This window comes from Homo sapiens, chromosome X, assembly GCF_000001405.40.
Source record: "Homo sapiens chromosome X, GRCh38.p14 Primary Assembly".
NCBI lineage: Eukaryota > Metazoa > Chordata > Mammalia > Primates > Hominidae > Homo > Homo sapiens.
This window is the reverse complement of record NC_000023.11, coordinates 150,474,152-150,500,665: the sequence shown is the minus strand read 5'-3', so window position 1 is coordinate 150,500,665 and position 26,514 is coordinate 150,474,152. Positions and strand designations below refer to the sequence as shown.

Sequence of the window (26,514 nt, the reverse complement as noted above, 5' to 3'; positions counted from 1 at the left end):
AAATAAATCAGTAATTGGTGGGCATAATTACTAGCTCATGGACTGACAAGGTCTACACTATTTCGAATCTCACAGAAGTAAGCCATGGGACAGATAGAGTCTGATAGTGGTGCCCCGTTTCCTGGAGGTCACACTTACTCATCCCCCTGGACCCTGGGCTTCTCATGATTGTCAGAGAGTTTGCTGGAACCAGGTCAGCCCAGTTTCCCTTCCCCTGAAAAATCCTCCAATGGCTCGCACCAAGACTAGAGATGCAAGTGCAAGCACATCCACCCTCTCAGCAGCCAGGTTTTGCGTTCCATAATGTCACGTACCCCCAGTCATACCAATCTCCTTGGAGCTCTCCAGACAGGCTGCCATGTGTGGTCGGCCCTCTGTGCTTGTGCTCCTTGGTTTGCCAAGCCTGGAATGCCCTTTCTCCATGATTGTACTCTGGGAATTCTGTGTGTCTTTCGAGATGAAGCTCCTCCACCCTGGAAATTCTGCCTCTCTTTCCAGGTCCAGCTCCTGTGGCTGAATACCCTTGGCTGACTGAACATTCTTGCTGGGCCAAGTCTTAATCATCTCTAAATCCCTCTGGTGCCCCGACAGTATCTAGCCCAGGCAAAGGGCTCAGCAAATACTTGCAAAATTCAATAAACTTTACTATGTTACTAGCTTGGCATGATGTTCTAGGCACTTGGGAGATTATAATCTGGTGAGCATTGTGCTAGTCTTTTTTTTGGGATAAACACCAATGATAAACTGAGCCTTTACTCTCATTTTAGCACATCTACTCATCTCTTTTCAATGCTGGTGGGTTTATAAAACCCATCAGTAGAACAGAGAGTGATCATAATCATATGGTGAAAATAACATCAGCTAACATATTTACTGAACATGCTTTAGTGTGCTGGGCACTGAACTCTGTGCACATGTGAATTTGAGATAGATTGTTCCTAGCTAATAAGATGAGGAAGTGGAGATGGGCTTACTCAAGTCACACAATAGCAAGATGGGGTACAGACAGAAACCAAGCTAGAAACCAAGCAACCCCTGGGTTTGGAAATGCATGGGCTCCTCCTCTGCACATGGCGAGGAGCAGTCAGGTGCTCCTCCTTCTTTCATACTGAAATAACTCTGCACTTTTGGCTATTCTGTGACACTCTGTGCTATTCTGTAGCTCAAATGGCTCTGGTGCAAGGAGCTCAGATTATGACTAACCCCCATAGATATTCAGCTGCTTTGCAAGAAGTGGATGAATGCTCTGGCTTTATAAATTATTGACGAGATTGGATATTGGCCCAATCTCCACTCTGGTGATTCGGAAGGAGGCATATGCACATTTGCAAGGTTATAGTAGTGCACTCTAATTCCACTGGCTTCTGAGAGCTTGTAGGTTTCTTGACTTAATCATTCTGGAATTAAGGTAATGGATCCTCAACACCTTTTCTTTCCCTGGCCTTTACTAACCATGTAACAGAAATGAGCAGAGAAAACCCAAGAAAGCGAACTGGAGACTTGATGAGTGTGTCAAAGATGCTCAGAGTCCAAGGTCCTCTGTGGCTCACTGACTTCAGAAGCCAACCTCCGTTGTTCAAGTCACTTGTGAGGTTACTATGCTAGAGCACTAAATATTATCCAGATAGCCCAAAGAGGTGAAGGCAGACATGTGGAAGAACCTGGATTTTTGGGCAAGTTGATGAATGCCTCCTGCCCCATATCAAAGAGAGGTGATAGGAGACAACTTTGTGAATTTGAAATAATGCACCGGGGAAACAGGAAAACGTAATGTAAGTCACGCTTCTTGGCTTTTTTCTTGCCATTACCCTACTTGGCCAAGTGCAAATGGGATTTCAATATATCATAAGTATGCATCTATTAATAACAATGCAAGAAAGCTGTACAACTGAAGTCTGAGATTTTGTAAGAAACAGAATCTCTGTAAGCATCACCATCCAACAGAACTTCCTGAGTTGATGCTGAATCATCCCAGAAAGAATAGAATGCTCTAGAGCTGTGCTGTTCAATATGGTAGCCACTGGCCACATGAAGTGTGTAGCACTTGAAATGTGGCTAGTAAAAATGAAGAACTGAATTCTTGTTTTTTAAATTTTTTATTAATTTAAATAGTTACATGTGACTGCTGGCTACAGCAGTGGACAGCACAGCTCTTTGGCATGGTGGCTAAGAGTCCAGGCTCTGGAAAAAGAGAGTCTAGACTTGAATTATGGGTTTGCCACTTCCATGCTTTGTAATTGTGGGAGAGTTACTTAACGTTTCTGTGCCTTAATTTTCTCATCTGCAAAAGGGATTAATAATTGTATATTATTCATAGAGTGGTAAAGGTTAAGAGGACTAATAGAATTAGCACGTATGCAGTGCCTGGCATGTTGTATGCACTCCAGGAAGGTTAGCAGCAGCATTAATTAACAATAATACCTCCACCATATATCGAGCCCCTTTCAATGGTCCAGGCACTGAATTTTACACAGATTAGCCTAAAACTGGACATGCTGTTCTAGGTGTGGTCTGGCCAACATGGCTCAGCAGGACCTGTGTTTTGGTAAAGTAAATTAATAATAATAATAATTGATGATGATGATGATATTATAAATATTTACTGAGAACTTACTCAGTGTAAGGCACTGACCCTTTCCTAGGGTCATTTCAATTAATGAATCCTCAGGACAATCCTATGAAGGAGGTACTATTATAATCCCATTGTAAAGATAAGGAAACTGAGGCACAAAAAGGTTAAGCGACCTGCCCATGATCACCCATTAGTTAAGTGCCAGAGCCTAGACTAGAACCTAGGTATTGTCTGATTTCAAAGCCTGTGCCAAGCTTTGTGTGATCAAAGTGCCCAAGTGAAACTTTTGTTATTGCAGTAAGTAGACTAACAGCAAGAATATTTTGTAAGGCCACTGAGGTTCTACTGTGCAATGGCCGCAGAGCTGGCTGCTGTGAGACCCAGGTGTCCTCTTCTTTTTATAATAACTGTACCTTGAAATGAGGAGAACTCCAAGTTGGGGGACCTCTGTTATGATACGTGTGGTATGGTGGGTGGAGGGGGTAGATAAATCTCACTAAAGAAATTCTGGCTGGGCGCAGTGGCTCATACCTGTAATCCCAGCATTTTGGGAGGCTGAGGTGGGTGGATCACCTGAAGACAGGAGTTCAAGACCAGCCTGGCTGACATGGTGAAACCCCGTCTCTACTAAAAATACAAAAAGTTAGCCGGGCATGGTGGTGCGTGCCTGTAGTCCCAGCTACTTGGGAGGCTGAGGCACGAGAATCACTTGAACCCAGGAGGTGGAGTTTGCAATGAGCCAAGATCACGCCACTGCACTCCAGCCTGGGCGACAAAGTGAGACTCCATCTCAAAAAAAAAAAAAAAAAAGAAAAAAAAGAAAAAAATTTTTTAAAAAAGAAATTCTACAGAAAACTCTAGGGTAGCACCAATCCCACCCATTTGGTGGATCTGTTCTGTAAATTTGCATTTTGTAAAAGTTTTCTTGGAGCAGGGTATCCCCTAAGCAAGACCTGGAAAAATTTAGGCTTTCCTGGAGTTTTTCCTCCACAAACGTATATAATTTAACTTTAACATTTCAAAATATGTTTAGGGCTGACTGAAATTGACTGGGTCCAAAATCAAATTCACTTCATCATGTAAATTCTCAGATTTGAAATTTAATTAGAGAATTAAGTTCAACTGATAAATTGCTACTTTGACAAGGGGAAAAATAACCCAATAACAAAATGGTAGAATCCATAATGTATAAAGAAATGAAGGAATTACTATCCCCTGGGCAGTTACCTCACTGTGGCACATTCCTGTGGATATCCCATAGTGCTTGGCATAGAGTGAATCTGCAGTATACTTCCCACTTCTGAGGTTGAGGCTGTGGGGCATTTTCACAGTGACCAAGGCTGTGCCTGTTGTCAGCAATGCTGGGTAATGAGGTTGGTGGGCCACTGGGCATCATGCTACTTGGGGGAGCATCAGGGACGGGGTAAAAGAGGAAGGGCATCAAGGCTCTCCAGAGTCTAGAGTTTTAGTAGCCAACAACGGCCTGTGGCAATCGTTGCCCTGACAGTTTCTGGAAGGTTTCTATTTTCTCATGATGATGACGATAATGATGATGACAATAGCTACCATGTATTGAACACATACAATGTGCCAGGCACTGAGTGAAACGCTGTAAATGTTTACTAAGTGAAACATTCAATACCCATGGCAAGCCTGAAAGATGGGTACCATTATGATCCCCACTTAACAGGTGGGGAAAATAAGGTTCAGAAAAGCAAAGTAACTTGCTCAAAGTCACACCATATGTAACTGGCAGAGCTGGAAGCTGAACCTGGAGTTGACTTACATGAAAATCCAGGCTCTTAACCGCAAATACTACAAATGCTTCAATATGAAGCAATATTCAAAACATAACCCTCACCCCAACCCCCACCTGCCTTCCCAGCCTCAAATTCTCTCAGTATCTCCCTGATGGCACCTTGGGCTTCCAAGGGAGCCATCCAACTAACCGTCATGTTCGGGCAACCGAAGAAGGGAGTGGCAGGATTTCCTTTGGAGACTTCTGGAATTAGACAGCAGTTTAATGCAAGCATCTAAATTCTCTTCCTCCCAGAGTCTCATTAAAACTACAGTAAGAGTTTGTGTTTTGTTTTGTTTTTAAAGACAAAATCCCACCAGGATAGAGAGAATAGGAGAGGAGATAACAGCATCATAATTTATGAAACTAAAATGCAGATAGACCAGGATTAACTGACTACACAGCACCAAGGAAGCTGAATCACAAGACAGCAGAGGAGAAAACTGGAAAGGATCGTGGTCTATACGGCAGAATCTTCCCAAGCCTCAGGAGGAGGAGCTCTAGATGTTCCCAGATCTGGGAGGTAAAGTGGAATGGGGGGACATGGTCAGCGTAATGGGGTTGGGCTGGAAGCTGGTTAAGGAGCAGGCAGATCTCTGAATCCCCTCTCTGACTCTGTGTCCCCAGGCATCTGCCTGTCCCCCACCCTGGAAGAGGTCTGGCTTGACCCTTTGTCTGGTGAATTTCCTGCTCTGCTTTCCTGGTCCTGCTGGCCGGATCAGTGGAGGCCACTCACTTCACCCCACAGGGATGTTCTGTGTTGCCCTACACCTGGGAACTGGAGGTACTGGAGGCAGGCTGTGGTGAGCTTGAAAGCAAAACACAGAGGGCAGTCCAATCTCTTTGGCCATATTTCTTCTGCATATCCAATACCATGTCCACAACTCTGCTAGTGTCCTGATGGTGGTGGGCTCTACACATTCCCGGGAAGCTGAAGGCAGATAATGACCAGGACAGGTCAACCTCTCTTCTTCTGAAAGCCTTCATCTACTAATGGCCTGGGACTCTTCCCTTAAATGCTTAGATTGTGTCTTCCACTAAGGTTTTTTGCTGTTGCTGTTGTTTGTTTGTTTGTTTGTTTGTTTGTTTTGAGACGGAATCTCACTCTGTCGCCCAGGCTGGAGTGTAGTGGCACAATCTCAGCTCACCACAACCTTCACCTCCTAGGTTGAAGGGATTCTCCTGCCTCAGCCTCCTGAGTAGCTAGGATTACAGGCACATGCCACCATGCCTGGCTAATTTTTGTATTTTTAGTAGAGACAGGATTTCGCCATGTTGGCCAGGCTGGTCTTGAACTCCTGACCTCAGGTGATCTGCCTACCTTGGTCTCCCAAAGTGCTGGGATTACAGGTGTGAGCCACCACACCCGGCCAAGGTTTTTGTTTGTTTGTTTGTTTGTTTGTTTTGTATTGAGGCAGGGTATCACTCTGGTCACCCAGGCTGGAGTGCAGTAGTGCAATCACGGCTCACTGAAACCTCCACCTCCCTGGCGGGCTCAGGTGATCCTGCCACCTCAGCTTCCCAGGTAGCTGGGACTACAGGCTTGTACCACCACTCCCAGCTAATTTTTGCGTTTTTAGTAGAGACAGGGTTTCCCCATGTTGCCCAGGTTGGTCTCAAACTCTGGGCTCAAGCGATCTGCCTGCCTCAGCCTCCCAAAGTGCTGGGATTACAGGTGTAAGCCACCGTACCCGGCCCCGCCACTAAGGTTTTGAAAATGAAGCAATTACAAGTTTAAGTCTATTAATAAGTGATGAAGCTATGTAGAAAAGCAGAATAATTATCTTGGATCAGGAAGGTCACATGAGGATCTACTTGGGGGTTGTCAATATTCTATTTCTTGACCTGATCAGTGTTGACAGCAGGTTTTAATTTTTTACTTCTTTTTGTTTGTTTGTTTTTGAGACGGAGTCTTGCTCTGTCTCCCAGGCTGGAGTGCAGTGGTATGATCTCGGCTCACTGCAACCTCCGCCTCCTGGGTTCAAGCTGTTCTCCTGCCTCAGCCTCCCCAGTAGCTGGGATTACAGGCAGGCACCACCACGACCAGCTAATTTTTGTATTTTTAGTAGAGACTGGGTTTCACCATCTTGGCCAGGCTGGTCTCGAACTTCTGATCTCGTGATCCGCCCTCCTTGGCCTCCCAAAGTGCTGGGATTACAGGCTTGAGCCACCGTGCCCGGCCCATTTTTTACTTCCTTATTAAACTGTACATATAGGCCTTGCACACTTTTCTGCATCAATGTTATATTCCACAATAAAGGGAAAAGGTATATACACAACTTGATACCAGTAATGTGAAACATATATTTCTACATAGAAAAAAAAATGACTGAAATACTGCACTCCAATGTGTTCACACAGTAGTTGTTTCTGGATTATTTATATATTAAATGTTTATATATTGTATTATGCCATGAGGTTTGTGTTTTCTCTCCACTTTTCTGCATTTTCCAAGTTTACTACAAAGAGCACATATTACTCTTATAATCAGAAAGTCATAAAATATATTTAAAAAGACAAAATTGAAACTAATAAGGATCAACACAAAACAGATGAGCCATCTGTGGAAATCCGCACAGAATACTACCTAAAGAGATTGGTGACGTGCATGATCTCACTAGGATGAGCACAAAGCTTGCCAGAGCCTAGGGTCTATTTCTAGGGTTGGCTCTTGGAAGCCAGGATAGTTGTTATCTCTGGGAAGAGGGAGGGGCACACAAGGGGCTTCTAAAACATTCTGAATGTTCTATTTCTGAACCTGGTTGGTGGGTACATGACTGTTGGTTTTATTATTATATGTTTTATATACTCTTCCGTATGTATGGTGTGGATTCCAAAAAAAGATTTCCTTTAGAGAAAACCAGAATCACATAAGTAGAAAATATGGTGCTATGTTGAAGGAACAACTCAAGTTTATATAAAATCATCATCATTTATAGGCTTAAAAAGTTGCTTTGGAATTTTGGTCTAACTGACTTGTCTTTTCTGCAGCAAACCACGCTCCTTCTGGACGTGCTCCAGGCAGAGGGGATTAGGGTGGGTTCAAGGCTGCAAGTACCTAGCTCAGCACACTCTCTTCAGGGGACTTAGAGTTTGTCTGGTGTTGGCTCTCTGAGCTCTTGTCAGGAATGCCGACCCTTCCGAGGTTCAGGATTTGAAGCCTGCCTTCCCACCCCAGATTTGGTCCACACAGACACTCAAGTATGTATTTCAACTACAAATGACCTGTACTTTCCTATTACTCCTCTCTTTCATGGTAACCTTTCTGGTATCCTTCCTTCCCTACATTTATGGGAGGGGGACATCATTCTCTGCTCTCCTGTCACTGAAGGCTCCACCTTCTGTCTTCTTCTGACCCATCTGGTTTTCCTGGGGCCACCTCCTCTCCTTACCACCCTAACGCTTTTGTAACTTGAGGAGAAATGAGAGATCACCTAGTCAGGTCATCATTCTCTGTAGATGAAGAGGCCCAATGGTTTGCTCAAGAATTGCCAAGCGAGTTAAAGACAGAGAGTATGAGAGTCAGCAAGACCTACAGAAAGCATCTATCTGCACTGTTTTGCAGGGACTTAGCCTTTGTGTGTGGACTCCTGGAATGCCACCCACTAAGAAACATTGTCTGACACCAACTCCCCACTTGGTAGGTGGGGACACTGAAACTCATGGCAGGAAAGGGCCTTGCCCCAAGCCAGGGCAGAGTGTAACTCATCACTCTCAATTTTCAGTCCAGGGCACCTTGTTGTGACTATCCCAAAGGCAGCCACTTTCCCTGGTCTGAAAGACCTGAAGAGAGAAGAGAAGAGAAGGATGGAAGGCAGAGTATGCGGCTTTGATTCATTTCCTGGTGAAAACAGATCTATACAAGAAGCAAATTTCACGAAAGGGAAGAGAAGAAAGTGTCCCATACGTTGCTGGCCTGTTTCAACCTTGCTTTGATTCTTGCTGAAAAGGGTACCGTGTATTTCTGAGTTCAACATGCAGACCAGTGTTAGGAAAGCCACTGCACCTCCACTTTAGCCTCCAGGGCTGTGCCCTGCAAATGGCCTGCAGCCTTGGTGCCTCGCTCTCCAGACTGCATTTTGGAAGATGGGACAGAGGCTTATGGAAGCCCACATTAGAACGGGGGAGCAGAATGGGTGAGATGAGGGATCCTTGATAGTGAACCAGATGAAGGAATGGTAGCCAAATGCCAGGCCTCCTTTGTGGCTTCAATCCAAAGGCTCTGGAGCCCTTCCAGGGCAGAACATCAGGCATGTTTACCCCCACTGTCCTCAACAGTGACAGAGGTGCAATCTTGGGCAGCTGGCCATTTTGAAAGCAACCTCCTTAATCTCAACTGGGAAGGCTCCCTAGCAGGACCCCTGTGTTGCACACCTGGAGGAAGCTAGACTAACCAGAAGCTCAGCACGGTTCCATCTGGGATGCCCAGGTCTGAGACGAAAAAGGTAACTCTCTTTTCTGGGTCCTGGCCCAGTTGTGTCTCTCTCCACCTCATTCTCTGAGATGCCTGTCTCCCCTTTTTTGTCCCATCAGGAGGCAAGAGCTATCACTGGGCCAGACTCCACCAGAAGCCAAGCCAGCTTGTTACCCAGCTTCTCAAGGAGCAAAGAACAGCCTTGTTTCTATCTTATCCCCACTGTCCCCTGCCCCTGCCCCACCTCCCAGCCATTCAGCTTCTGGCTTCCCCAGAGCTGCCTGCTTCTTTGTGGTCCTCCATTCCTTGAAAAGACCTTCTAGTCATTAGTGTATATAAATGGCCACTTAGCCCAGATTACAGTGAGGTCAACAGCTGGGGCTCTGAGAATTGTCACACACTGGCACAGGAGAGGAGGCTATTCTTCCAGAGAATTTGGAGGGCACTCCCATCCACTTACAACAAAAAGCCCATCCACTGTGCTTGGCAGTAGGTGATCTGAGAACCAATGGAACCAGGTTAATCCTGTGGCACTGTTGAGTGAGGAGAGCAGTGGCGGGCACTGGAAAATATCAGAGACAAGGCAGGAGACCTGAAATCTAGGCTTAGCTCCTCATATACTTGGCAGCTGTATGACCTCAGACAACCAGTGTTACCTCTCTAAGCCTCAGTTTCCTCATGCAAAAGGAGGGGGAATAACAACGGAGCCCACTGCTTGGGGGTGTTGTGAGGACAGGATGAAAAAACAAACAGAAATCCCTCAGTACAGGATTCAGTGCAGTGGACAGTCTTGCAAGGTCCGGTTCAGCCCTCCACCCCTACCCTCACCAGTATAAAGAACTCTGGCCTACAAGTCAGATGACCTGAGTTTTAATCTCAGCTTTGCCATTAGCCGTGTGAACTTGAGAAAGTCCCTTTCCTTTTTACATCTATTGAGATGATCATGCATTTTTTGTCCTTTACTCTGTTAATATAGTGTGTTACATTGATTGCTTTTCATAGACTGAACCAGCCTTGTATTCCAGGGATAAATCTCACTTGGTCATGGTGTATAATCCTTTATACAAATGTTGCTGGGTTGAGTTTGCTAGTATTTTGTTGAAGATTTTTATGTCTTGATTCATAAGGAATATTGGTGTACCTTCCCCTTTTATGGCCACAGTTTCCCTACAATGATGTAGTCGAACTAGACAACCTCCAATATCTTTCAGTATTCATGTCCTCTGATTCTGTGAAACTAAGAAAATTAAGAAATAGTGATTCATAGGCACAAGGCAGGCAAAACTTAGACTCCTTGTAGAATAATTAGGAAGCCAAATATTCAGTGTGCTTATTTCTCAAATAACCTTAGTTTCTCCAGTCTGCCCCAACTCCGAGGCCTGAATATCTCTAGATGCTTATGATGGCAACTAAAGCCTAAAAGCTAATTCATTTTAAAGTTCTTCCAAATGCATAGGGTTTTATTTTTCCAGACCTGGGTTCAGATGGGGAATTTGACAAACAATGGAAAGGGGGAAAAACAACAATCTAAACACTGAGTGACAAAGTAACAAAGAAATAGTCTAGCTATCAGCCAGTCAAGCCAGCCTTGGCTTTGTTATCCAAAGTAGTCAGTCTAATTCTACCACCAGTTTCTGTTCCTGTAGCTGTCTACTGCCTGCCAGGGACTCTGCCTTCCCACCCACAACTACCAATGGAAGGATGTGGTGACCATACCAGTGGCTGCTGACATCTCCTGCCATGGGAAACATAATTGCCTCCAGCAGCCTCCCCCTTAGATCCATCATTTTTGCTGCACTTGGCCTGGGCTGTACTCCCGGCCAATGACTGAACATGGTGAGCATAGTAATGCAGGCCCATTTCTGTGAGGAGCAGGACTCCTCCAGTAGGTGACTTTGGCTCAAGGACTCTCTATTGGCCTGGTTGAACTTTTCCTGAACTGTGCTACTGTCTGAGACTCTTCTTACCCAATCCTCTTTCTCGCCCCAATTGTCACAGACCACCTGCATTGTGGTCTGAGTCTCTCCCCACCTTCTCTTGCTCTTCCCTGTTTATCTTTCACAGGCATTTCCCCCAGTACATTCCTTGAATGTCTAACCCGATACGGGTGCCTGACTTTTGGCAGACCTAAGCAGACAAAAAGGAGTACTTGGTTACCTAGCTCTTCTTTCTACCACAAACATCGAGGGAACCCTTTTTCCCTCACCCCTCTGCCACACCCCCACTGCCCCAGTGAACAACCACAGAGAGAGCTGTGGTATAATATTAGGCTGGTGCAAAAGTAATTGCGGTTTTTGCCATTACTTTTAATGGTAAAAACCGCAATTACTTTTGCACCTACCTAGTATTTGTGTCCCCCCAAATTCATATGTTGAAACCTAACCCACAATATGATGTCATTAGGAGGCAAGACCTTGAGGAGGTGATTAGATGATGGGGTGGAGCTCTCCTGAATGAGATTAGTGCCCTTATAAGAAGAAGCCCAAGGAAGCTACCTTGACTCTTCCATCACATGAGAATGCAGCAAGAAGGCACCATCTACTAATCAGGAAGAGAGCTCTCACCAGACACTGAATCTGCCAGTGTCTTGATCTTGAAGTTCCCAGCCTCCAGAACTATGCATAATGCATTTCCATTGTCTCTAAGCCACCCAGCCTATGGTATTTTGTCATAGCAGCCTGAACTGACTAAGACAGTGAGCCACATGAGAAGTGCCCCAACCCCTCCCTTAAGCACTTGGCTCACAGATCAGTGGGTTCATTTCTGCCTGAGTTTTATTGTTATTCTGTAGATTTCTTGGGCTAGATATATTTTTCTGTTATTTTCCTTCTTCACCTCAGTCATGAATTGGTTGTTTTAAAAAAGACAATGTAAGTCATGGGGAAACTCCTGACAACTCTACTCTCCTAGGGTTCCTGATAAAAGGGGATTCAGTTGAGTCCTCTGATGGTCTCTACCTGCCAAAGTCCAGCAGCCCTTAGCAAACATGCTGCTCGTTTCTGTAGAGAAGGTGCTGGTGTCCCACCATACTTCTCTCTCCCTCATGAAGGGCTTGCGACCCAGCAAATGGGTGGCTTATATGGGTCTGTTTCAAAGGAAGAGCCAGCTCTGGGAAGAAAAACGATGAGCATAAGCATAACCTACCACTGTGCCTGGGAAAGCAGACAACTTTTTTGATGTGTGAATATCTAATGAGAATGGAATCCATCAATTACCTTAAACTTAGGCACAGTCTTCAAATTCAATATATGTGGGATATACTTTTAGTCAGTTTGTAGACGTTATTTGTAATAAATAATCTGGCTTCTCTAAAGAAATTATTTTAAGTGTTTGGTTTGGTTTGATTTAATGGTAAAATTATATTTAGTGGCAGAGAATTATAGCAATGGTGATAAACTATAGAGTGTCATAAGTTCATATCTTATTCTCACATTTGAAGCTGCCTGCAGATGCATTCAAGATGCAGCCAGAAGTCAGGAGACTCAGGCTGTTATTTGGAGCTCATCATTTTACAGCCTTGCTGGACTCCCACTTTCTCAGGGGAAAAATGTGGTGTTGACCCAGATTAGCTCTCCAGGCCCTGCTGAGTTGGGCACTCTGTAAGCTGGAGGGTCTTCTATTGTCTTCACCTAAGTGTCAATCAACAACCCAAATGGGCATGGGGGAAGAGGGAGCTGGGCCAATGCCCAGGGTGCCTGGTAGAGAGATACCTTGGGCACTGGAAGGCACCAGCTTCCCAGAGAGAAGGGGGAGGGCCATGAAAAAGTTGGCTGTAGATGCCAGGGACACTGGGACTCTCCAGCTGTGTGTTTGTGTCTTCTGAAGACTTATGTTTCATTCCTTTGGAGCATGCATAATCATACACTGTGGGATGTGTTATATAGATTGCTTGATAGTTCACCACTGTAATAAAATACTGTGACTGGAATCTGCTCCCAGTCTGCCTTTGATAGCACTTGTGCAACACACATTTACTGAGCATTTACAGTGATCCAGGACCTGTGTTGTGAAAACATTGATGGACAAGGCAGATGGTGGAGCACGTCAGTGAGGATTTTTAACAAAGGCTGGTAAGTGCTATAAAGGAACATTGTAGGACACTAGAGAACAAAGAACAGGAGAACCTGACTTAGGCTGGGGTGGGGCGTTGGTTAGAGGAGGCTCCTTGGAGGACATGAGGTTTAAGCTGTGACCTGAGGATGAATAGATGTTGGCCAGGTGAGGGGCCCTGGGGAAGAAAGTTGGCAAAATTCCTAAACCAACTTGATCTATGTCACAGCTTCACCCAGTGCTACTCCTATTCTAAGACCCAATGAATACCCGGGTCACATAGGGAGAATGCTTGCAAAATGTTGGATGTCCTTGGGAAAAGAGCTGCTTTCTGCAGTCACGTGGAATCATCCCACAGACCGCTGTGCTGTAGTAGATGGGGTTGGGGAGGATGGGAAAGCCTTTATCTTTCTGTTTCTAATTTCTTCAATTCCAGAAAATTTACTTTCCTGAAGCTGTAAGGTGTCCTTCATTTTCAGCCTCAATTGTTGAAAATTAGATTACAAACCAAAGCAGGAATTCCATGATATGTTTTTAAGTTGTTCACACAGTAGAGTTGGGTGTGTCCCATTTATAAAACAATCCATCATAAGTCAGTATAGAGCAGAAGAGATAGCTAAGAAAAATCCCTGAGTCCTAAATGTCAGAATCAGAAGGGCCCATAAGGATAATCTAAATCAGAGGTTCTCAAAGTGGAAGGGCAGGGGTGTCCTTGTACTAGCAGCAGCAGCAGCAGCAGCAGCCCCTGGAAATCTATTACAAATGCAAATTCCAGGGCCCCACCTGTATCTGTGGAGTCAGAAACTCTGGGGATGGAACCCAGTAATCTGCATTTTAACAAGCTCTCCAGGCCACATTCCAATGTGAGAACCACTAATTTAATCCAATCCTCTCATTATACAGAATAGGAAACTGAGTCTGACCCCTGGTCAAGCCTTGCTACTGCTGTCCAGCAGGATGTGATATGGATGATGGATCAGTGACCACCGTGTGCTGCTTTCCAACTTCCTCTTTCCCAATTGAAATTTTTTTTTCTTTTTATTGCACTCTTACTTTCTATGCCAAGGTGAGCATGGTGACCAGTGGTCCCTGAAACATGAAGAGCTATATACTGACCAAATTCAGAGGATGACACATCACCTAGGGTTTCCGGATTGGAGTTGGATCCCTTTGGGAAAGGGGTAAATAGGTTTTCCCTAAGTGTGGGCATTTTGGGAGGTGTATGCGTGGGAAGGAAGGTGTGTATGAATGAGGATGGCCAAGAGATTGATTGCAACAAATACTGTTGGTTGCCAGCACTAAGTCTTCCTTCTCTTGACACCTTTCCCCATTTTCATTTAGGCAGCTTCGTTTGGCCCATACCACCTCTGTGCTTAGGAGGAACCTGGCTCCACACAAGGTTCTAGCGGGGGACACAGCTGACATGAAGCAGCACAGTAGGCTAGTAGGCGTTGGATCCATTCAGACTAAAAAGCATGAAATCTGGGGGGGCTTCTGGGAAAGAAGCTTCCTGGCTCTTCTGACAGAGATTCTAGAAGCCATTCTCCTGCTCTCTGAATGGGGCAGGAGGAAATTTGTAGCCTCTGGAGTTGCTGGCACTATCTTGTGCCCACAAGGGGGAGCCAGCCTTAGGATGAGGCTCATGCCACTGAAGGCAGAGTAGACAGCCAGAAAGAAACAGCATCTTTGATGACACTGAGGAACTGTTGATTCAAACCAACCCTGAAGTCCACCCAACCGCTGGACTTTAACTTTCAGGAATCAGTAAGTCCCCTTTATTGTTTAAGCCAGTGTGAACTGCGCTGTCTGCTAATTGGGACTGAAAACATCCCAACTGATAATCTGGCCTGGCCTCTCAGACCCCTGAGTTCATGAGGTCTGCTTTACACAGCCAGCCTCATATTAAAAAACACCCGATTTTTAATGATGAAGCTTGGGGCCTGCTGAACCCTGCTCAGCCTTGAGTCATGTTCTTTTATCTACTGACCAATTCATTTACAGAGACAAATCTAACACACCTGAACCATCTGTACAATGCACTCTAGCAAATACATTCAGTATGGATCAAATATCACAATCCTGGGCTCTTCATTCAGATCTCAAGTGTGGTACTCAAGATCTTCAATATGCATTAGTTGAATGTGATACACATTTTAGATACAATAGTCTAGCTTAATAACATTAAGAATTTCTGGGTCATATTCAATTCTGATGCAAACTAGAATATGTACTTTGTGGGTTTCTGTGAAGAAAATAATTGATGATTTAAAATGGGATTCATCTATAGAAAAGAAGCAATGCTAGCTCATAAAAGCAATTATTGGCATCAAACTCCTGAATTTTTAAATCCCTTAAAAAGTCCAAGAGCATACCAGAAAGTCAAGATTTGGTTTCAAAGGTAATAACTGTAAACAAAAAAATTAAAAGCCCGTAAAAGGTGTTGCTGGGTAGGATTGTGATGGCTCTAGAAACAATTGTGAGAGCTCATTCTCTTTCTCAATTCCTAGTCTAATATTATTTGAAAAACTTTATATAATGAGAGAGTGAGAAATAGACATAAATCAAGTTCAGGGTTACAGAGCAATGCTTAGCCTTCAGGAACCTCTTCTCTGGGGGAAATTTCTGAGCTGGAGTTGGCTTGGACAATGAGCTCGGGCAGGACAGATGGGGGATGTGGCTGCTACCCTTGCAAGTGGGATGTAGGGGAGCAGGAATAAAGTAGATTGTTTGGAAAAGAGGAGCTTTCCTCTCTACTGGGACAAATGTACGTGGAGCATTTGATCAGTTTAGCAGAGCCTTACTTACCCAGAGGCCCTCACTCCAGTGCTCTGTGATGAGTTCAGAGGCCAGCAGCCAAGATAGGGGCAAAGAACTGGGGGAAGGAGGGAGAGTTAGTGGGAACATCACAGTTGTCTTCAAATCTCTAAAGGGCTCTTAAACCTTGGGGGGTCATATTGTACTAGAATGTTGATGAACCTCAAGATTTGTAATTTGTCTCAAAAGTGGGGCATGGAGAAGGATTCTAAACTCTAAACTGGATGTCAATCTAGCTCTGACAAATCACAATGCAGACTTTTTGTTTGCAGCAGGGACTTGGTGAAGTCTTTTAAGTTCCTGAGACCACGTTGTCATTCAGAAAGCCAACTTAAACAATTTTATTAATGAATGAGTCCTCGGTTGTAATCTTGCCTCTTGCAGTGCAGAATAACTACACGGCTTGGAAGAGTGGTTCTGCCCACCAGCTGCTGTGGAACAAGCTGGGCAGAATAGATCTACATGATTCCAGATCTATATGAATGCACAGGGAATTGACATGGTCAAGGCCATTGCCAGAGGCTGCTCTTTCAACCCCATTCTGCTGCTTTGATCTGTATCAATCTTGAACTAGGGCAATTCATAGAGCATAAGGGAGTCAGGAGACCTTTCTGGGTAGGTGGGTGGGGAAAGGGCCTCCTTGTGATGTAATTATTCTGCCAAAGCAGACATTTCCAAATTAAAAGTCAACAAAGCAAACAAAAGAATAAAAGAAATGATTAAAATGGCTATCAAAATGATAAGAACAAATAAAAACAAAAACCTAAAAAGATAATTCTCACAAAGAATGTAGAATCTGTGCTTATGAACTAGTAAAATAAACCTCTTTTTTTTGGTTTAAACCAGTAGTGGGAGCTTGTTCATATACTATCAAGTATTTTTATAAGTCACATTTAAGCCTACCAGGAGAACATATGCTTAACAGCCTTCCAAAAACGTTCACTTTATACTGTGCTAGTCATAAAGAAATAGCAGAGTTACAAACACACTGTGTGTAAGTGAAGACCACTCACTGCTCTCAGAACTGACCAAAATCGATTGGCTTATGTTAGGAATATCAGCACCACCCCAAAGTGGTATGAATGAATCTTAATCAGGGAAAAGTAATAAAATGAGTGGCCTGAATTTCGAAACTAGCTGTTTTTGGCTTTTCTTACCATGTGAAGCTGTCACTGTGGTATGTGAAATGGCAGCCAGAAGTTTTGTTTTGTCCTTGTAAATTGCATTAAATGACGACAACAACAACAACAGCAGAAACAACAGAACCACCAGGACAAATTACCACTGGCGGTATAAAATTGTGTACTTGTTGGAAGTTGAAGAAATCACATGTTTTCAGACATTGCACAAGTGCTATAGAAGGATAAGGAGCTTAACTGGACCAGAGAAATGCATCATGGTCAGTGGGTAAATGGGCCCTACATGCAGATGCAAAGTTCTCCTTTCTGCCCAGTGCAAGAATATGGGTTCATCGGCCTCCAAGCCTTGAAGACTGAGAGTGTCTATCAATACTTCCTCTAAAATGCTCAAAACAGTTTCCAAAACTTAGCATTCCGCAATGGCTAGCAGATACAGCTCATTCATTGGTTCATTCCCCTCTATATTCTACTCATTCATTCCAAGGATCATTCAGCTTACATTACAGAGCTAGCGAAGACGTCTTCCTATGCCTGAGGAGTTTACTACCAAGTGGAGAAGCAGACAAGTCACAAAGAACTCTGATGAAGAAGTGGACATCACCACACCCTGAAAGGCAGAAACCAGAGATCTTGTGAGCTGGAGCATGAGCAGGGACACAATGACCAGGTGTGAACTTTCTAAAAGTCATTTTGGCATTGGTCAGAGGTGTCCTACTTTGTGTACCAGTGTCAAGGCCTTAGGAGCTGGTTCTCCCTGTAGTTGAGAACCGTAACCTTTTTCAGAACTCTATTCCAAGGCCTAGCACTTGCTCTAGAGTGACAGTTTGCACAGAAAGCCAGTCAGAGATGGCGAGTCACTAGCAGCATTCTGTCGGCTCCTGTATTACTCAGCAAACTGTGAGTCATCCCGGTGTTTCCAGACTTGCAGATATACCAGAGAGCTAATGAAGCAAGTGGGTTTCTCATCTCATTCAGAAGCAGAGATAATGTCCGTTCTTGTTTACAGTCACTTCTTTGTTTCCCCCACCTACGTATTATCATTTCTCCAAAATGTCAAGAGAGGGACAGCCATTATGCTCAATTTTCCAGGAAAGTTATTTCTGGTTATGCCTGTGCATTTAACAAACATGCACCTCAGTAAGACATACAAAAAACCCAGATGGCCCATACAACATGATGAGTGGATGTGCAGTAAATACTGCTCTTACCAGGGATGGAAAATGAGCAGTTCAGCTTGCTGCTTCTTTTAGATTGTACACTAATATTATTGCAAAAGAAAAGACTGCTTTTGATTAGGAGAGGACTAGCAAGTGTTTTAAAATTGCAGCCTTTACTTTTTCATTGTGGTAAAAATATGTATAAAATGTACCATTTTAACAATTTTTAAGTGTGCAATTCAGTGGCATTAAGTGCACTCACAGTGTTGTGCAACTATCACCACCATCCATCTCCAGAACTTTTTCATTTTCCTGTACTGAAACTCTGTCCCCATTAAACATGCACTCCTAATTTCCTCCCTCCCCTAGCCCCTGTCACTCACAGTTCTATCTGCCTTTCTCCATGAATTGGACTACTCTAGGGACCTCACATGAGTGGAATGATACAATATTTGTCCTTTGGTGGCTGGCTTGTTTCACTTAGCTTAATGCCTTCAGTGATCATCCATGTTATAGCACATGTCAGAATTTCCTTCCTTTTTAAGGCTGAATAATATTCTATTGTATGGGCATGCTGCATTTTTTTAATTTATTTACCAGCTGATGGACATTTGGGTTGTCTCTCTCTTTTGACTATTGTGAACAAAACTGCTATGAACAGATAACTGGTTGAGCCCCTGCTTTCAATTCTTTCTTTCTTTCTTTCTTTCTTTCTTTCTTTCTTTCTTTCTTTCTTTCTTTCTTTCTTTCTTTCTTTTTTCTTTCTTTCTTTCTTTTTTCTTTCTTTCTTACTTTCTCTGTCTCTGTCTCTGTCTCTCTTTCTTTCTTTCTTTCTCTCTTTCTTTTTCTTTCTTTCTTTCTCTCTTTCTTTCTTTCTTTTTTTTTATTTTTTGAGATGGGGTCTCTCTATGTCACCCAGGCTGGAGTGCAGGGCAGTGATCACAGCTCACTGCAGCTTCAACCTCCTGGTCTCAAGCAATCCTCCCACCTCAGCCTCCGGAGTAGCTGAAACTGCAGGCAACGCCACCATGCCTGGTTAATTTTTGTAATTTTTTGTAAAGGTGGGATCTCACTATGTTGCCCAGGCTGGCATTGAACTCCTGGCCTCAAGCGATCCTCCCACCTCGGCTTCTCAAAGTGCTGCGATTACAGGTGTGAGCCACTGTGTCCAGCCTTGCTTTCGATTCTTTTAGGCATATACCCAGAAGTGGAATCACTGGATCATACGGTATTTCTCTGTGTAATTTTTTGAGGAACTGCCGTACTTTTTTCCACAGTGGCTGCACTATTTCACATTCCCACCAACAATGCACAAGGGTTCCAATTTCTCCACATCCTCACCATCACTTGTTATTTTCTCTCTCTGTGTGTATGTGTTTATAATAACCATCCCAATGGGTGTCAACATTTTGGTGTTTGAAGATGTGAAACTAGAAAGCTATAGTGGAGTGCATTGTCTGTTCACATTTTCCAGAGCTCATCTTTGAAAGGATTGCCAGATAAAGGGAAAGGGTCATGGAATCATTCCCAGTTATTCCCACTCAGGGATGGGTGAGGGCCTCCCACATCGTTCAAAGCTTTGTCACATGGAAATAAATGATCATTAATCACAATTGCAAATGAGTAGTCCACCTTCATCTGTTGGTCTGCTGAGCCAGCTGGCTTTGGCAAATTCTCTTCATGGGCCACCCCGACATGGGCCTGCAGAAGAATATGTGTCTCCACAGCTACGCTCACCTCCTCTGCTCAAAACTGGAAGATGGCCGGATTTGGTAGCATGCTACAGGGGAAAAAGCTGGCCGGAACCTGAGCCTTTAGCTGCAAACTGAAAGCTCCCACAAGCAAAGCAAGAGGTGGGATAATTCCTAGTGAGGTACAGCTATCCATCTTTCAGGCCCTGAAGGCCACCTTTAGCCCAGGACTATATATATAATGTCCTGGAGCACCCACTTTTATTTTTCCTGTGCACCTAGCTCCAATAACCCAGCCAAGGCCTGTGGCTCTGTGCTTTTCGTCTGTGTGAGTCCTAGCTGCACGTTACCAAGAAACTTGGTTCACATGGGGTAAAGGAGAAAACATCGAAGAAATGGATGAATGCTGACTCTTTATTCCACTCTCTATCTTAGAAACTGTTGCTGAGATGAGAGTTAAGAGTCAGCTGTCTGAAGACACCTGCAGAGGTGAGCCTGTGGGTGAGGTGGGGTGATCTCTTTGGGCCTTTCTGCTGCTTTTGGCTTTCAACAACCTTACTGCTTTGGATGGGTGCAGCCGGCATGATAAACACTCATCTAGCAAAAAACACAACATGATAAAACAAACAAAAGCAGTGTTTGTCATTGTAGGCAAAATAACAAAATCAGATAAAATCCCAGACTGTTTCAACTCCTTAGGAAAAAGCAGAAACTTTCTTTTGGATCTGGGAGCAGGGTGCTTTAAATGTAACCAGCATTCTACCCTCTGCTATCCCCTTCAAGCTAAAAAGCAGCCAGGTCAGGCCCCACATAGTTGTTTTACAGGGCAGGCCCAGATCGTGGGATTTGTCAATCCCTAAGGGACAGAACAGGCTAAAAGTACAAATAGACTCGGGAAAGGATTCCATAAATCCACGATATGGGACCATGAGTGGATCTGAGAGTCAGAAGCTGGAAGTGAGAGTCAGAAGTGGATCTGAGAGTCAGAAGCACAGGATGGGGAGGGGAGGGTGCAGTCCAGCCCTCTGAGTACTCATCCTTTGCTCACCTGGATGGAAGGGTCACGTCTTTGATTCCCCTTGGCGCTCTGCACCATCCACTCCTGCACTCAGTGACAGTGCTGGCTGTAGGTGTTAGGGCCACAGCTGAATGGAGCAAGTCTACCGTGAGTTTCATCTGCTCTAGATCTTGTTTACATTTTGCGAACTTTTCACCTGGGGACATAGTAGTAGTAGAGCGACAGCACTTCTCTTTCATGTTTGTTGTGTGCGCAAAACTGGACTGCTCGCTCCATATGGTGTTCTGTGTTTTGGGTTTGTAGGTATTCATAAGGAGATACAGCTTAAAGCAGCACGACACAATGATTTATTTCTGTCCTCTTACGTTCTTTGAAAAGCGCAATGAGATTCCTTGCCTTGCTTTACAGTGACAAATAAGTAGGTTGTCTTAATTAACTTAGCATAAAATAATTTGTGCACTTCATTTTTAAAAGGGCTCATTTTGGGTGTCCTAACTTCAGCAAGTTTCCTTGTTTCTCTTCAGATATGTTAAGACAAAACAAACAAAAAACAAAACAAAAAACTTGACAGGAGGTTTCTGAAAATGATTGCCTCTTCAGCTTTCATAAGCCAGTTACTAAGCAATGAAAAAAATTGTATCTATTGATCTCTACTACTGATGCATCTTAAGTAGGCGGCCTTGTGCATCCCCGTAAGTTTTGGGGTTGACCACACTAACTGATGGCTCATTCCTCCAGGGGAACAATGTAAAGTCACCTTCATTTGAAAGTGTCGTCTCACTTATTCTTTAACTTTTAATAGAAAAAAAATGTTGACATTTAAAAGGTTAGCATTTAACAAGCAGCTCATTTTAAATTTCCGCTTTTTGAAAAAGAAAAATAGCTTTGAGGTGGAGGATCACTAATGGCCCTTAGAAACCGAAAAAGAAACTGAAAAAAAAACTTTTTTTTGATTCTTGGTAAGATTAATACCAAGTTCTAAGCCTGTGTTTCCCAAATTCAACAGCCCATGTGGTTTCATTTCCTGGCAATTTAGAGAGGTTAAAACAAAACATTTTCAACACTGAGATATCGGTCCCCGAATTTTCAAAATGCATGTTACACGGTGTCTAATCATAGTTCCACACAAAACAGCTAAGAAAAAGTTTCCCGAAACCAAACAGCTCTTTGCAGCTTAATTTAGAAAGAATGGTAAAACTAAGCTTGTATGTACCATCATGTTTAAATACAAAATAAGAATGCTCATTCAGGAAAACATTTCCTTGTCTGCCAGAGAATACGCACAGGGCAGGCCCCGGCTCTGACCCACGGGCTCTTTGAAATCTGCCTGGTCCCCAGTCCTTTATCTGGCAAGTGGAGGCACTTCCTTACTTATCATTTGACTGGTGGACAACACAGAGATTCCTCTAGAGGCTTCTGTTCTTGCATTTTAGCAGGACTAACCTTTGAAATAAAATCTGTGATGTTTCTCGCCAGAATTAGTAAAAGACAAAATTTCTCTGAGAACACAGACAGCAGTATTGCTCTCCCGCAAGCCTTACTCTCAAAACGAGAGAGGAATGCAGGGAAGTGAGGGAGAAGACCTGTAAGTCCAAGGTGACAGGCCCTTCCTTGAAAATATGTGGTGGATCTGATTTTGGGGTGGAGGTCATGTATTTTAGTAATATAATAATTACTTTTTGAAAATGTTAATGAGTGATTCTGAGACTAGGAAAAGGCTCACTTGCTGTCTCTGCCTCTCCTGACTCTAGTTGTAAATGGAGCAGATGTAACTTTGATCAGAATCGGAAATTCTCTTGGCCTCACTAACCTGGTTTGTTCCTTTTTGTTTTCCATGAAAAGTCATGGTTCAAATATAAAGAATTTAATTTGCAGAGCTAATTGAGACAGCAGTAATTAAAGGTTATGCCCTACTGAGTGGGCTAGTGTAGCCTTGGAAGTTCAAACCAAAAGGAATCTTGGGTTTCTGCAAAGATTCTTTTTGGAGGCTTTAGGAGTGAGAGTCAGTGGTGCAGAAGAAGGACGGAAACGAGAGGAGAGAGGGGAGGTATCCCCTCAGGATGCGTGCTCTGTGCGCCATGACTATGCAGGACCAGCTTTCCTTCCTGGCCACTCATGTACACGCTTTCCGCCCTGTTCATTGTCACTGTGTATCAGTAAGCCCTCTGCCTGAGTCTTGAAATGTCAGGCACCCCTGAGCCTGCTGCAAGCAGGTGGGGTCAGATCCACGCTGGCTGCAGGTGGAACTTAGCTCCTCCTTCCCCCTCCTCTCTGCCCACCTAAAGTCGTCCTGTGGTTGCATTTGTTATTCAGCATCCACGTAACTCCTAGAAGTTCAGCTGGCCGTGCTTAGAGGGAAGAGAAGACAACATTCTCCCCTACCCACGGTCAGGGGCACTCAGGAAACCACAGCCTGGCTTGGCGGCTCTACTTCCTTCTGGAGTCACCAACCTGTGTCTGCTGCCTTGGCTGCTCCTCAGCCACCTGGCAAAAGTCTTCCTTAACGCCCCTAAGGGACTGTCCGTGAGCACGCAGCCCCAGAGGGACTGAGCTCTCCCCTGCCCTTTCTCTCCAAGTCACCGTCCACCCCTGGGGGTCAGAGAGGAGCCTGGATGCTGAGCCGAGGCTGACTAAATTCATTCCATTGGGTTACTGGTGTTCTGGGTTTCGGGAACTTTCCTGAGAGTGACAGCTAATATCAATGGAGCATAATTGTGTACCAGGCCCTATGCCAAGCGCTGTTACCTCATCTCATTTAATCCTCACAGCAGCCCCATGAGAAAGGTATGCTAATCTCCATTTTACAGACTGAAGCCTGGAGAGGGTAAATCGCTTGCCCCGCGGAAAAGGTGGCAGAACTGGGATTTGGACCCAAGTGATCCAAAGTCTGAGCTTTCTTGAACTTGGCCTTGAGCCCAGCCCCAGGGCCTGTCCCCTGCCAAGGCCCCAGGGTAAGGCCCCTGTGTCCCCCGCCCTGTGCCATCTATCTTCAGGCCCTGGGTGCTGGAAGTACTGCACTTCGGAGGGTTCAGTCTACCAGGGGTGAGAGAGGCCACAGGTGGGGATAGTGGGGGCTTCCCCAAGGCCCCACTTTAGAGGGAGCTGCCCAGATCCTCTTCATAGGCCCAACCCCTCAGAAAGGGAAGATGGTGAGTTCACTGCCTCTGCAATTGCCTGGTGCTCACGACTGCCTAAGCTAAAGCTTATCCTTAAGATAGAAAGCATATCAGACCCAGTAGGGGCTTAATCCAGCCTTCTCCAAGGCAGGTTTGATTCCCCCTTCTCTACCCTCTCCATATTTGTCAAAACAACATCATGTGCCTCCTTGGTCTATTTCTCCACAGCTGCCCTCTTCCCTCTGTGCTGCACAGCCTGCCTCAAGGATCAGATTCCAGGCTTTTTTTTGTTCTTATTCCAACTGGCCTCCATCCACATCCCTCCTCCCCATGAAACCACACTCCCAGCTCTGCAGATCTGAGTGGGGCTCAAATGCACGTGCACTGAGGGCACTCTGGCCAGAGGCTGCCTCTTGCTATCCCCAGTCTTCCACAGTCCAACTCCCATCTCCTTGACATACTTGTTTGTGTCTTTGAGTAAATGTAAGATCTGTTCTGCAGTCGTGAATAGTGAAACTGAAGTAAGTCCTAACCGCGATTTTTGCAACACGCCAAGGTATCTCCAGTAATCTGCAGGGAGAAGGGACATCAGATGATGCAAACAAAATTCATTTTGCCTCAGTCTGATTAAACATCAAGATATATCACCCAGCCTGGAGGGAGGGTGGGGAATTCAGTGACGCAATTTGGGGTCATTAAAATCTGACAAACCAGTGCTGGGTGTTGCAACTCCATAAAGAGTTAAAGATCCCTCCCTTAATAATTCCAGGTCCACATCCCTTATCTGTAATTTAAAGTCCAAGAAGCTCTGAAAGCCAATTTTACTTTTGTAAATTTGGTGCCAAATTTTATGTGGGGGCAAAAGTTGACTCTGGACTTCCTTAAATATTCATATTTCTCTGCAAAAGTAATGAAACACTGCTTCAGATTACACTGGAGGGTTGTGTGACATTTGGTATTTGCACCACATTACCTTCCCAAAGTCCCAAATGTTCTGAATTTGGAAATTCATCAGGCCCCGGAGGTTTCAGGTCCAAGCCCACAAGGCTGCCCTAGCCCTGATTGAGCCTGTAGTGTGTGCTGGGCACCGTTCTAAGCAGTTTCAGGTTAGCATCTCCTTTGCCTTCCCAATGCCCTATGTGAAGGGGACTATTCCTTTCCCCATTTTCAGCTGAGGCTCAGGAGTTGAGTAACATTGCTCATGGGACCTGAATCAGTCAGCATCTGTAGCCAGACTTGAGCCTCAGTTCTGTCTGCCTCCAGTGCCCTTGCTTGCTCAACCTCCCATGCTAAACAGCTGCCCCAAAGTCATGTGGCATTTGCCTTTTACCTTACGTGGACATGAATGGTGCATTGAAATTGAATAGTTCACTCAACTGGTAAAGCAAAATCCTCCAAATAGAGAGATGCTGGTCTGTACATAAAAATGAGCTCCTCTATAGAAGGCTGGATTTGGCTTTTCAGCTTACTCAAGCGTTTGTGTCTCATCTCACATTTAAAAATAACTCCTTTAGAAAACTAAGATCTAGACCAGGTGCGGTGGTTCCTGCCTGTAATCTCAGTGCTTTGGGAGGCTGAGGTGGGAGGATCACTTGAGCCCAGGAGTTTGAGACCAGACTGGGCAATATAGTGAGACCCTGCCTCTAAAGAAATGAACAGACAAAAACCAAAAAAGCCCCCACCCCCCGCACAAAACCTCAAAGATCCAGATTCAAATGAATGTCCAGTTTTTCCATGGTAACCATTATCGTCCACGGCAAATGTAACAGGCTAGTAAATGCCATATCATAGGTAATTAGTGTTCCTGAGGCTCAGCTTGGCCATCAGTAAAACTTGGGAGGTTTGCTTAGCCTGCTGGAAGTGGGAAATATGTTCTTCCCCACCATTGGGGCCACCATCTGTCCTTCTACAGCGGTCCCAGCTCTTGCCTCAAACACTCGCTTTTTTCTTTATTTTTTTCTCTCCCCTGGAAGAATGACCAGGGCTGAGTTCTTAGGTCTTAGAGTTAATAGGGAGAGGCCATAAGAAGAAACAGAAGGACTGTTGAGATTCCCCCAGCTTGGAGGCCTGGAAGAATACCAGGTAGAGAACAGAGTGCTAGGGAGAGGAGCGGAGTGAGAGTGCCGGAGAGCTCAAGAAAGAGCAAAGTGAGATCCCCAGTCTGCAAAGCAGGGATGGACCTTTCCCCTTTCCCCTTTCCCATCAGGCTGGGAGTTGTCCAGGAGAGGCAGGGCCTAGAGCAAAAGGAGCCCACAAGGCTCAGAGGCTGCACAACTCCTATCAATCTCATGGTGGGTACAGGGTCTGGAGATAGCGTGGCTTGTGTCTGTCCTGCCACAGCTACTGGTTTTTAGAACCACATCTTAGTCCCATGAAACAGATCTGGGAGCACAGGGTCAGGAGGTAGAGTCATCGTGACAGCAAATCCCTTGTCAGCACATACTTTATGCCAGGCCCTGTTCAAAGTGCTTTAGATGTATTAACACACTTAGTCCTCAGACAACCTATCATCACCTTGATTTGTAGAGGAGGAAACAGTTAAGAGGTGACAGTGGAAACAGAAGGCTACAGAGGCAGTGCCCCATGCATGGGAGTATGAGTGTGGGCTCTGTAGCCAGATTGTCTGCTCTGGCCCCAGCTTGCTGTGTGACTGTGGGCAACTTCGGTCACTTCTCTGTGCCTTTCCCCCCAACTCTCAGGAGAATGGTAACAGCCCCTGCCTCTGAGGATTAAAATGAGAAGAGG

General features: G+C 44.7%; 1 protein-coding gene and 1 long non-coding RNA gene across 12 annotated transcripts in view; both read right to left on the bottom strand.

Moving 5' to 3' along the window:
• Positions 1-26,514, bottom strand: part of MAMLD1 (mastermind like domain containing 1) — a 152,602-nt gene that overhangs the window by 13,508 nt on the left and 112,580 nt on the right. The gene's annotated exons all lie outside the window — the stretch shown is intronic.
• Positions 1,252-18,168, bottom strand: LOC124905223 (uncharacterized). Its single transcript, XR_007068346.1, has 2 exons — positions 17,287-18,168; positions 1,252-15,706 (listed from the first exon to the last, which is right to left on the bottom strand). It is a non-coding gene; the product is annotated as an uncharacterized LOC124905223 (long non-coding RNA).